This window comes from Homo sapiens, chromosome 10, assembly GCF_000001405.40.
Source record: "Homo sapiens chromosome 10, GRCh38.p14 Primary Assembly".
Taxonomy (NCBI): domain Eukaryota; kingdom Metazoa; phylum Chordata; class Mammalia; order Primates; family Hominidae; genus Homo; species Homo sapiens.
The window spans coordinates 6931256-6944257 of NC_000010.11; the positions used below are offsets into that span (position 1 = coordinate 6931256).

Consider the following 13002-nt stretch of genomic DNA (forward strand, 5'->3'; position numbering starts at 1 on the left):
GTTAAGAATTGGACTCTGGGCCAGCCGTGGTGGCTCATGCCTGTAATCCCAGTACCTTAGGAGGCCATGGCAGGCAGATTATCTGAGGCCAGGAGTTCGAGACCAGCCTGGCCAACATGGTGAAAACCCATCTCTACTAAAAATACAAAAAATTAGCCAGGCATGGTGACGGGCACCTATAGTCCCAGCTACTTGGGAAGCTGAGCCACGAGAATCGCTTGAACCTGGGAGGTGGAGGTTGCAGTGAGCCAAGATCATGCCACCGTACCCCAGCCTGGAAACAAGAGCAAGACTCTATCTCAAAAAAAAAAAAAAAAAAAAAAAAGAATTAAACTCTGGAGTCAGATTTCTCAGGTTTATCCTAGCTCTGCCACTAGGCTCTCTGACCTTGAGAAAAAGGTAGCCTTTTAATATATCAATTTGGGCAAACATAAAATAGGGAAAATCGCAATCCATCCCTTTTAATATTAGAAAGTGGTGGCTGTGCAGTGGCTCACACCTGTAATCCGAGCACTTTAGGAGGCTGAGATGGGAGGATGGCTTGAGCTCAGATGTTCAAGACCAGCCTGGGCAACAAAGTGAGACCTTGTCTCTACAAAAAAAAATTAAAAATTAACCAAGTGTGGTGGTGCATGCCTGTGGTCCCAGCTACATGGGAGGCTGAGCCAGGAGGATTGTTTGAGCCCCAAAGGTGAAGGCTGCAGTGAGCCATGATCAAGCCATTGCACTCCAGCCTGGGCAACAGAGTGAGACCCTGTCAAAAAAAAAAAAAAAAAAAAAGAATATGGTGTAAGTAAATTAACATAAAACACTCAAAACCATGCCTGGCACATGGTAAGTCCCATATAAATGTTAGTTATTCTTAACTCTGTCCTCACCATCTTTGCATCAAGGTTGGAAGAATTATTAACCACTTTCTGTCTCGCTAAGCACATTTTATATGCTGGCATGCAAGGATATAGTAAATACCCATTAGTCTGGAATAATTTAGAACTAGATATAATTTTGCTTATAAAATCAAATGGGGCTGGGCATGGTGGCTCACACCTGTAATGTTAGCACTTTGGGAGGCTGAGGTGGGTGGATCACCTGAGGTGAGGAGTTCAACACCAGCCTGGCCAACATGGTGAAACCTGATCTCTACTGAAAATACAACAACAACAACAAAAATTAGCCACGTGTGGTGGTGCATGCCTGTAATCCCAGCTACTCTGGAGGCTGAGGCAGGTGAATTGCTTGAACCCGGGAAGCAGAGGTTGCAGTGAGGCAAGATTGCACCATTGCACCCCAGCCTGGGCGACAGAGTGAGACTCTGTCTCAAAAAAAAAAAAAAAGTCAGAAATTGGTCAAATATCCTCAGAGTTCCTAAAGTTGAATGATGCCATTGCATTTATTCCCTTGCTTGATCTTCTACAGATGCTTACACTCTAAACTCAATATTTTTCTCTTTGCTACTGTTCAGAAACAATAGTTGTCTCTCCTGCATTCCTCAGCTATCCCAGTGCTTCCTCCATTGGGAGCTTTTTTTTTTTTTTTTGAGACGGAGTCTCGCTGTGTCGCCAGGCTAGAGTGCAGTGGTGCAATCTTGGCTCACTGCAACCTCTGCCTCCCAGGTTCAAGTGATTCTCCTGCCTCAGCTTCCTGAGTAGCTGGGACTACAGGCGCCCGCCACCACACCTGGCTAATTTTTGTATTTTTAGTAGAGATCGGGTTTCACCATGTTGGCCAGGATGGTCTCGATCTCTTGACCTCGTGATCCACCCGCCTCAGCCTCCCAAAGTGCTGGGATTGCAGGAGTGAGCCACCGCGCCGGGTCGTGAAGCATTTTTACAGAAGGTAGCTCCATGGCTCTGGGACCCCTTTTATAGACTCTGACTGCGTCCCCTTTCATCCATGAAGTGCTTTCTCCATTTTTCCTCTTCTCCACTCCCTTGCAACAATAGTTTGCAAAGTAGAAATTGTCAAAATTAAATCTCACGTGCCGTGTGTCAACCTACTTAAATAGCTGATCTGCATCTTTGTTCACTTGTGTCTGAGCAACCAGCGTATTTTTCTTTTTCTTATTATTTTTCTTTTTTAAAAGATGCAGAATCTATGGACATTAAAATAGATTTGTAATAGCCAGAGCCATGCACAGACCATTGCTACAAAAGTGTACTTTGCACCCTCAGGCTCTTCACGCTGAAGAGTCTTTCTCTTCCCTCTTATGCTGGGTCTGCCTAGTGCTCTTCTCTACCCCAGCCCCTGTAGTGTTCAGATCAAATCACGCTTTATTAGGTGAAACTCTATTGAATCGTGAAACTTTCAAGCCCATATAGTATCCTTTGCCATATCTCGCCTGTGTCTGAGGTTACCGAGAGAAAATTGTCTTTTCCTTTCTCATGTCTATGCTGCTTTTTCTTGCGTATTTTTCCAAAATTTGAGACACACTACATCCTAAATTTATATCAACAAAGAAACTACTGCTGAACTATCAATTAAAGATAATAAAGACAACCATGTAATTTTAAAAAAATCAAAATTGCCAATAACATTTCTATTTTAATACCTCTTTCAGGTAAAAATGTGGAAACCTATTTGAATTCCATAGCAAGTCTCAGTTCAGATGTTCCTCCACTCACCATGGGACTCCGAGATGGTTTGGATAGCTTGTCCTCTCCAAATCTCATGTTGAAATGTGATTCCCAACGTTGGAGGTGGGACCTGGTAAGAGATGTTTCTGTCATAGGTGGATCCCTTATGGTGCTGTGTCTGGGATTGGTTCCTTCCAGTGGGTTCTTGGTCTTGCTAACTTCAGGAATGAAGCTGTGGACCCTCGTGGTGAGTGTTACAGTTCTTAAAGATGGTGTGTCCGGAGTTTGTTCCTTCAGATGTTCAGATGTGTCCGGAGTTTCTTCCTTCCGGTGGGTTCGTGGTCTCGCTCTCGCTGGCTTCAGGAGTGAAGCCGCAGACCTTCACAGTTAGTGTTACAGCTCTTAAAGGTGGTGCGGACCCAAAGAGTGAGCAGCAGCAAGATTTATTGTGACAAAAGAACAAAGCTTCCACAGCGTGGAAGGGGACCTGAGTGTGTTGCCCCTGCTGGCTCAGGTGGCCAGCCTTTATTCCCTTATTTGGCCCCACCCACATCCTGCTGATTGGTCCATTTTACAGAGTGCTGATTGGTCCACTTTATAGAGTGCTGATGGGTGCATTTACAATCCTTTAGCTAGACACGGAGCACTGATTGGTGCATTTACAATCCTCTAGCTAGACACAAAAGTTCTCCAAGTCCCCATCCGAACCAGAATCCTAGCCAGCTTCACCTCTCAGTGGCATCCTCATGCTAATGAGTAAGTTCTCACTGTGTTAGTTAATGTGAGAGCTGACTGTTAAAAAGAGCCTGGCACCTCCTCTTCCCTCTCTGGCTCTCTCTCTAACCATGTGATATGCTGGCTCCCTGTTTACCTTCTGCTATAATTGGAAGCTTCCTGAGGCTTCACCAGGAGCAGATGCTGATGCCATGCTTCCGGTACATACTGCAGAGCCATGAGCCAAAATAAACCTCTATTCTTTATAAATTGCCCAGCGTCAGATATTACTTTATAGCAATACAAATGGACAAAGACAGGCTATGTCCCAATAAACCCATTTGAAGTTGAAAATATCATCACTTGAAAATGCACTTAATACGCCTAACCTATCAAATATCATAGCTTAACCTAACTTACCTTAAATGTACTTGGAACATTTACATTAGCCTACAGTTCAGCAAAATCATCCACCATAATGCCTATTTTTATAATAAAGTATTGAATATTTCATGTTATTTATTAAACACTGTAGTGAAACTGAAAAAATATGATCACCTGGGTACTCACCATTAACATACACAGCTGAAAGCACACTGGGCCTGAAGAACGTTTGAAGCATTGAACTAAAATGCAGGATGATGGGATGCTGCAGCTACAGGGTCATCAATCTCTCTCTTCTAATGAGGCTTGAGAATGGCTGGTGGAAGGCACTGGGGCATCCAAACTGGATGGCTTAGCAGGCATGATGTTCTTTAAGAAGATGTCAAGTATCCGTATTTTACCCTCATGATCCAGTGGCTGACTGGGAGCTGCAGCTCAGCATTGAGAGAGAGCACATACCACTACAGCTACATACCACTACCCTGAAAAAAGATCAAAATTCAAAATTTTAAGTATGCTTTCTACTAAATACATATCTTTTTCACACTATCATAAAGTCAAACAATCTAAGTTGAACCATTATTAGTCAGGGATCATCTGTGTGTTCAGTTGACCCTCAGTGTCCATGGGTTCCACATTCATGGATTCAACCAACTGTAGGTGGAAAATATTCAAAAACACAAAAACAATAAAAACAACAATAAAACAATAACCCAAATAAAATACAGTATAACAACATATCTATAGCATTTACATTGTATCAGGTACTGTAAGTAATCTAGAGATAATTTAAAATGTGCAGGAGGATGTGCATAAGTTATATGCATTTTCTATACACCATTTTATTTCAGGGATTTGAGCAACCACAGATTTTAGTGTCCACAGGAGTCCTGGAACCAATTCTCCACTGATACTGAGGGATGACTGTATCTGTTCAGTGGGTAAATATTACTCAACTCAATTCTTTTCTTCTGGCTTTACAGAATGACAAATATAATAAAATGTGTTCTTTGTCCCTTCTGTAGTGGGCATGCTTAAATTTTGTGCTATTATGCACAACATACATTTTTATCCATCAGCTAGAGAATCAAGCTTAATAATTTTTAGAAGACCATAATCAATGCCAGCTTCCACTCATCTTTTAAATTTCAGCTTACCATGTCACTTTTTCAGCAAAACTTCCCTAATCCAAGGTTAGGTTATGTCGCTTAATTGCAATCCTACAAAATCCCATCTTTCTTCCTTGTGCATAATTACATTTTTAATTAAATACTTCAAGTATTTACTTGTCTAATGCCTAGCTCTCTTCTAGATGGTAAGCTCCATGAATGCACGGTCTCACTCACCAGTGCTTAGTAGAGGGCAGAGTCTTTGTAGGTCATCTTTAGGCCTTGGTTGAATAGACACAGGCATTCATGAATGAATGGATGGATGAATGAATGGTAACAACAGATCTGCAGCAGAATTTTCAGAATCATCCCTGGATCGTTATTTGGGAAGTGTAACAGCTACGGTTTGAATGTTTGTCCCCTCTGAAACTCATGTTGAAACTTAATGCCCAATGTAACAGTATTAAGAGGTAGGGCCTTTAAGAGGTGGTTAATAGATTAATCTATTCATGGATTAATGGATTATCACAGGACTGGCTTAGCTGTCACCAGAATGAGTCTGTTATAAAAGACAGTTTGACTCCCTCTCCTGCATGCCCTATTGCCCTGTGATGCCTTCTGCCATGTTATGATGCAGCCTGAAGCCCTCACCAGAATGAGCTGCCTGACCTTGGACTTCCCAGCCTTCAGAACTGAAGGAAATAAATTTATTTTCTTTATAAATTACCCAGTCTGTGATATTCTGTTATAGCAACAGTAATGGACTAATACAATAACTGATTATCTTCTCAGAGAGATGCAAGCATTATCAATCTTTAAACTCTTCTAGTTTTCAGAGTTCTTAATTAGGATGAAGAATTTTGAACTTCTAGCTCAATTAATTTAACAGTTCCACATACCCTTCTGTCTCCTCCCAGAGAAGGATTACAGGGGAACACACAAATGGTGCCTGAGGAATTCTCTTCTAGTATCACATTCCCAAAACCATATCCTTCCCACTAAGCCAGCTAAAGTCTTGTAGAATGTAACATACTTTTGCAAATGCTTTAAGCCTCCTGAGAATTGACTTTATTGACTTAATTGGCTCCATTGACTTAGAATGACAAACTCAGAAATCTCATGTCAATCAGATCTTAACTGACTCCCAGGAAGCCTAGGTTCTTATTCTTCAGAATACAAATGATAATGACAGCAATAACACTGCCCTCTCAGGCACTGGTAAACACTGCTATTCATATTCCAGGCACTTTCTATTTAAACAGAGAGAGAGAGAGACAGAGAGAGAGAGAGAGAGACTGTATGTGTGTGTGTGCTTGTGTGTGTGAAATATGTCACATGGCAACAAATGTGATGGAGATAAATAAGAGTGACCAGGGAAGTTGTATTGATAAGTGACACATAGGTAGAGACTTGAAGAACCTGGAAGAAGGAATCATGGAGATACCCAACTAAAAGAATTATGTAAACAGGCCAAGCCTGGTCTCCTTGAAACACCAATAGGGGGAACAGGATGGCTGTTCCTAAATAGTGCTGGGGGTATCCCGCTAAACTCTGCCTTATCTCCCAGAAGACCAAAAAGGTTAATTCCGCTTCTTCATCTTTTGGGTTTATACCCTAGGGAGTGTGGAGAGAGGCCCATCTTCTTGGCTCTAGGGAAGGGAAGGGCAGTGCAGATCTGTACATTTGCTGCACATTGGAATATTCTGCGAGCCTTTAAAACTGTGAGGCCCAGGTTGCACCCCATACTAATTAAGGCAGACCCTCGAGGGTGAGACCCAGAAATCAGTGTTTTTGAAACCTTTCCAGAAGAATCCAAAGTCAAGTGGACATGCTGGAGCCGACTCACACCAGCTCCCAAGGGCAAAGAGCCTACGCTCTTACAGGGATAGAATAAGGATACATCTGGCCTTTAACCTGGTTCCTGACACACAGCTTCAAAAACCCTTGGAATTTCCTGAGTGACAGGCATGTCTTTTGTTATTCCATAATAAGCACCTTTAGATCATACCTGAGTTTATGCTAATAAGGTGACTCCTGGTGGGCTCTTACACGGTTGGGAGGCAAGGGAGCATATGGGGGTAGGAGAGTTGTGGGGGGCAAACCAGAAAGACCTCAAATGTGATTGGAGGGTTGGAACTTTCAGCCGGACCTCTGACTTCTGGTGAGGGGAGAGGAACCGGAAATTGCATTTAATCAAATGGCTAATGAAGTAATCAATCACACCTATATAATGACATCCCATATAAAAACTCTGGATACAAAAGACCAGGGGAGCTTTCTGACTGGTGAACATTATATATATATAGGGAGAGCAGCACACTTCAACTGCATGGGAGCAGAAGCTTCTGTGCTTGGGATCCTCCTTGACTTTGGGCTCTGTACCTGTTCGCCTGGCTGTTCATTTGTGCTCTCTATAGTAAAATAGCAGTCATCAGTATAGCGTTTTCCTCAGTTCTGCAAGTCATTCTCATAAATTATCAAACCTGGGAAGGAATGAAAAGCTCCACATTTGTAGTCAGCTGAGCAGAAGTGCAGGTGGTTTGGGGATGTCTGAAATGTACGTCTGCCTTCTGAAGTGGGGACAGCCTTGTGAAGAACTTTGCCCTTAACTTGCGGGGTTTGCATGAACTCCAGGAAGTCAGTGTCAGAACTGAATCAAATTTCAAGACACTCAGTCAGTACTAGAGAATCGGCTTTGGAATATGCTTCCCAGCTCTGTGTTCAGTGATCTCATGTTGGCAGTTGAAGTCAGCCAGGGTGAGAATATGTACACCATGGAAATTGGCAAATGCTACAAATCAAGGCTTCTTGTCCTTCTGCCCCCAAGAACTGGTTATTAAACATTTATCAACACACTGGCATTTTAGAACCAGTGGCCTATGCCATTAGGTGCTGGTTAGGAAAGGCTAGAAAGATCTCAGGAGGGACAGAGTCTGAACACACTGAGAACTCCTTCTATTGCAAACCTATGCAGAGCAGGCTGAGCCCATTGTGTGAGTGAGGGGAACTCCTTCCTTTCTGAAATCCTTCCATACATTCCCACTTCCACATAAGCCATGTCCAACCTATGTATTGCACTAACCTGACACTAGGTAAAATTCTTCTTAAGGAAGAAGACAACCGGGTCGCTTAACAAATCAGGGGGAAGCCATGCTTACTTCTTTATGTGAATTCCCTGTGTTCATTTTTCATGTGCCTCTCTTGTTCCTTTTGAATTGTTAAATTTATTGCATATTTTTAGTAATAGATGGGTCCTCTTCACATATCAGCCTCAGGTTCATTCAAATCCCTTTCTGGGAACTCACAGAGAAGTTCCCTTTTTTCAGTCTTCAGGAAATTCACTTAAATGTTATGAGTTTTCTGAGATAATTAATCCACCAGTACAATTCCCACCTGAAACTCTCTCCTTCCCCTCTATTCACTCTTCAAATTTTGTTCCAATTTGGTTAATATTTCTGCCTTCCTGACCCATAATTCACGTAAGAGCATGAACACACATGCATTATCCCAGGAAACCACTGTGTGGGAATTCACTGACCCTTTCAAATCCATTTTTTCACTCTTCATTTAAAATGGAGGTTCAGCTGTTCCCCTGCTATTAGAATTTAGGATTTAGTTGCACACTTAAGGGATGTAGTTGAAATCCTTGCAATATATTTGCAGGAATTGACTCGCCTGAAATAATGAATCACACTAAGAATTTAATTAGGACCTTGAGGATGGATAATCAGGAACAGGAGCTGAGAGACATGGAGGCTTAGAAAGTCAGTTCAAATTGGGCACGGTGGCACATGCCTGTGGTCCCTGTGACTTGGGCAGCTGAGGCGGGAGGATCACTTGAGCCCAAGAGTTCAAAGCTGCAGGGAGCTCTGACTGCGCCACTGAACTTTGGCTTGAGCGACAGAGCAAGACCCTGTTTCTAAAAAAACCATTTTAAAAAGTTTATTTCAAGGTAACATGTGACTTCATAAAGGAATAGCCCCCTTACACACACGCGCACACACACACACACATATTCTCTCTCTCTCTCCTCTTCTTGCAATTCCTTGTGTTGGAGTAAGCTAAACTATACCTCGCACATAATCCTCCCAGTCCATTTCTTAAAATTTTACTCCATATTCAATTTGGTTCTAGCCTCTGCATCTTCTTCCTCTTTGAGTTACACTGTAAGAGTAAATCAAATCTAGCCTTAAGTGACATTATCCAATAGTACTTTCTCTGAAGATGGGAATGTTCTAAATCTGTGCTGTCTGGTGGAGTAGCCACTAGCCACATGGGGCTACTGAGTCTATCCAATATAACCAGCGCAACTGAATTTCTAATTTTACTTAATACTAATTAACTTAAATTTACATAGTGTAATTGATGGCTACTGTATGGGACAGCTCAGCTGCAGATGAACAAACATGAATAAGGATTCAAGGGAAAAAAGCTGAGAATTAGTTGTATTAGTATTAGTTGGCCAGGGCTGCCCTAACAAAGTACTACAGACAGGGTGGCTTGAACAGCTGACGTTTATAGTCCCACAATTGTGGAGGATGGACGTCCAAGATGAAGGTGTTAACAAGGTTGGTTCCTTCTGAAGCATCTCTCATTGGCTTGTGGATGGCTGTCTTCTCCCTGTATCTTCATGCTGTCTTCCCTCTGGAGGTGTCTGTGCCCATATGTCCTGTTCTCATAAAGGCACCAGTCATTTTGGATTAGAGTCCACCCTAATAATCTCATTTTAACCTAATTACCTCTGTAAATACACTGTTTCCAAATAGTCACATCTTAGGGTACTGGAGGTTAGGGCTTCAACATATGACCGTAGAGGAGTCAGTTGACACATTTCATTCCATAACAGCTCTTTCACTGACCTCCAGCAGGACTTCTTTCCCATTACAGACTGAGATGAGCCGTAGCAGCATGATTATCTCTTTCAGAGATTAAAATGAAATTGAAAGACAAGCACAATTTCTTATCTTCAAAACTCCTTGATGAAGCCAAGCTAGTCATGTTGTTACTGTTATATTATGTTCCTTCCTGATTCCTCCTCTCTAAATGTAACACAAGATCCATCTAAAGGTCTCTCTCACACAACTCTCAAGCCTCTTGCAGACATTGGTGATTCTGACCTCTTTTATTTCCTCTTCTAGGCACCTGTTCTGGGAGTCTCCTTTCCCTTTCTCAACCTTTCATCAGCCAGGGGTAAAATGACACATTTACAGCTATGGTTAAATGTAAAGACTCCATTCTGGGAGCCAGTGCAGGAGGTGCCTGGTGAGACTGTCATGTTTCATCCATTTTTTTTTTTTTTTTTTGAGATGGAGTCTCACTCTATTGCCCAGGCTGGAGTGTAGTGGTGCTATCTCGGCTCACTGCAACCTCCGCCTCCTGGGTTCACGCAATTCTCATGTCTCAGGCTCCCAAGTAGCTGGGGTTACAGGCACACACCACCACACCTGGCTAATTTTTGTATTTTTAATAGAGACGAGGTTTTGCCATGTTGGCCAGGCTGGTCTCAAACTCCTGACCTCAGGTGATATGCCCTCCTCAGCCTCCCACAGTGCTGCGACTACAGGTATAAGCCACCATGCCCAGCCCCATCTTCTTTATTGGTGAATTTGGGACCAACCTTTTGGGCTTAGTTGTATTATAACCCTACTGAGCTTGATTCCTATGTTGTCCCCTCTCTGTTAAATTCCCATCACGTTTGTTGAAATTGTTTAACAGAAAAACTAAAATTAAATTAGTTAGATGAGAGAACACATCAGGTAGTCATGTGGATCAGACTCTGGAATCAGGCAAATGCCCACCTATCACTTCCCTGCAGGTGTGAAACTCTTTGCAACTGATACTTAATCTATAACACAAAGATAAAAAAGAGACTTCTTGTGCATTTTTGCTAAGATAAGGCATGTAAGGTGCTCAGCCCAGTGCCTGGCACATAGAGCACTATTTACATGTTAGCTACAGTTATTATTTGTATTAGAAATCTTATTGTCAAGCACAGGTTGTGGAGGGAAACAGCATAGCAGAGTTGGATGCACTCAGAGAGAAATGGAAACAGATCGTCTCTGAGATCTTTCCTCATTGTAAAGTTCTATAAGGCATGTTTTCTTTCTTTTTCTTTTTCTTTTTTTTTTTTTTTGAGACAGAGTCTTGCTCTGTCGCCCAGGCTGGAGTGCAGTGGCATGATCTCGGCTCACTGCAAGCTCCACCTCCCAGGTTCACGCTATTCTCCTGCCTCACCGTCCCAAGTAGCTGGGACTACAGGTGCCCGCCACCATGCCTGGCTAATTTTTTTGTATTTTTAGTAGAGACAGGGTTTCACTGTGTTAGCCAGGATGCTCTCGATCTCCTGACCTTGTAATCTACCCGCCTCGGCCTCCCAAAGTGCTGGGATTACAGGCATGAGCCACCGTGCCTGGTCGATTTCTTTTTTAAAAAAAGAACAAAATCATTTCACCTCACCATTGGCTGGGTTATGATAGAATAACGGCACTGAACTACCTTACCTATTTGAAGTACGGGAACTCCTAAACACACTTAATTTCTAAGTAGGCATGTTTTCGAGGAGAACTCTCGAAGCACCTGTAGTATTAACCACTTCTCTCTCAGGAGAGCAGCGTGGTTTCTTCCAAGCGCAACCTTTGGCATCACACATCGCCATGGTGATTTTTCCCTGATCCCAACATGTGTTCTCACATCGTGTTTAATTTAGGAAGATTAGAACCGGTGATCAGCCCCAGCTCCCACCTGGATTCCTTCTCATCTGCATTGTTGCATCAACCTTTTGATGTTTTTGTACTTTAGATTTTTAAAAGTATTTCTGAATACCATGTATGGTTTACAGAGGTCGAGGATCACTCACTTCCAAAATCTTCCTCTTATCCTAAATTGTCCCTAACATCCCATGAAATTACTTTTAACATCTATTTCCCTAATAGACATAACGTATGCAAAGTCAAATTCTAAGTTTGTGTTGTTTGCCACTGTTCCCCCAGCAGCCAACACAAGCCCACCTGGCTCAGATGAGGCACTTGCATTTGTTAAATGGTTTGTTTTTTCCTACGCCATTGAGTAAAAGCTGAGTTAAAAATCACAGGGGCTGGGCACCGTGGCTCACGCCTGTAATCCCAGCACTTTTGGGAGCTGATACGGGCAGATCACTTGAGGTCAGGAGTTCAAGACCAGCCTGACCAACATGATGAAACCCCATCTCTACTAAAAATACGAAAATCAGCTGGGTGTGGTGGCATATGCCTGTAATTCCATCTACTTGGGAGGCTGAGGTAGGAGAATTGCTTGAACCTGGGTGGCGGAGGTTGCTGTGAGCCATGACTGCACCACTGCACCCCAGCCTGGGCGACAGGGTGAGACTCTGTCAAAAAAAAAAGAAAAAAGAAAAAAGGTCACAGTGGTCAGGCAAGTGGCTCACGCCTGTAATCCCAACACTTTGGGATGCTGACATGAGTGGATCACTTGAGGTCAGGAGTTCGAGACCAGTGTGGCCAACATGGTGAAACCCCATCTCTACTAAAAATACAAAAATTAGCCGGGTGTGGTGGCAGATGCCTGTAATTCCAGCTACTCGGGAGACTGACGCAGGAGAATTGCTTGAACCCGGGAGGCAGAGGTTGCAGTGAGCCAAGATTGCACCACTGCACTCCACCCTGAGCAACAGAGCAAGACCCTGTCTCAAAAAAAAAAAAAAAAAAAAAAAGAGTCCCAGTGTAAGAGCCAATAAAGAAAGACTAAGAACCTCCCTGTTCTGCCACTTGCAGTATTTTGCAGCCTAGAAGATGTTACTTGTAAACACCATTGCTTCTGCCCACAAAGACCTGCAATCACTATAGGAAAGGCTTTAAACATCTTCAAAGAAAGCAGCAATATCTTGTTTCTTAGGCCGAGACTAAAGAGTTTGAAGAATTAGAATGATTCTCTTCTTCATTAAGATCCTCCTCTCAATCACCTCTTCCCTGGCCCACCTCAGGAGAATGAAGAGGAACAAAGAAAGAAGCAAGCTCAAAAAGATTCCTACAGGACTGAAAACCTTTCGCCCACTTAAAAAATGAAAGGCAATAAAAGCCCTCAGAGAAAGAGAAAGATCGCTTCTTCAACCTAACATCCCACCTTAAGCTCTAACCTGCATATACAGGTACAAGCTGATGGATGAGACTATTAGCAATGAGAACCTCTTTATTGTTCATGTTGTTCACCCTGGAGAAGGAGCAAGG

At 42.8% G+C, this 13002-nt stretch overlaps 1 long non-coding RNA gene across 5 annotated transcripts in view, besides 1 other annotated feature; it reads right to left on the bottom strand.

The window, feature by feature from the left end:
* Window positions 1-13002, bottom strand: part of LOC105376387 (uncharacterized) — a 294200-nt gene that overhangs the window by 106986 nt on the left and 174212 nt on the right. For all 5 annotated transcript variants that reach the window (NR_188183.1, NR_188186.1, NR_188184.1 and 2 more), the window contains one exon: window positions 3858-4153. This is a non-coding gene — a long non-coding RNA (uncharacterized LOC105376387). The remainder of the gene's footprint in view (window positions 1-3857; window positions 4154-13002) is intronic.
* Window positions 2418-3617: an enhancer, noted in NCBI's record as "BRD4-independent group 4 enhancer chr10:6975635-6976834 (GRCh37/hg19 assembly coordinates)". NCBI's record gives its function as "activates an origin of replication core promoter dependent on BRD2, P300/CBP, MED14 and CDK7 cofactors, and independent of BRD4, by STARR-seq in HCT116 cells {active_cell/tissue: HCT116}" and the evidence as "EXISTENCE:reporter gene assay evidence [ECO:0000049][PMID:35650434]".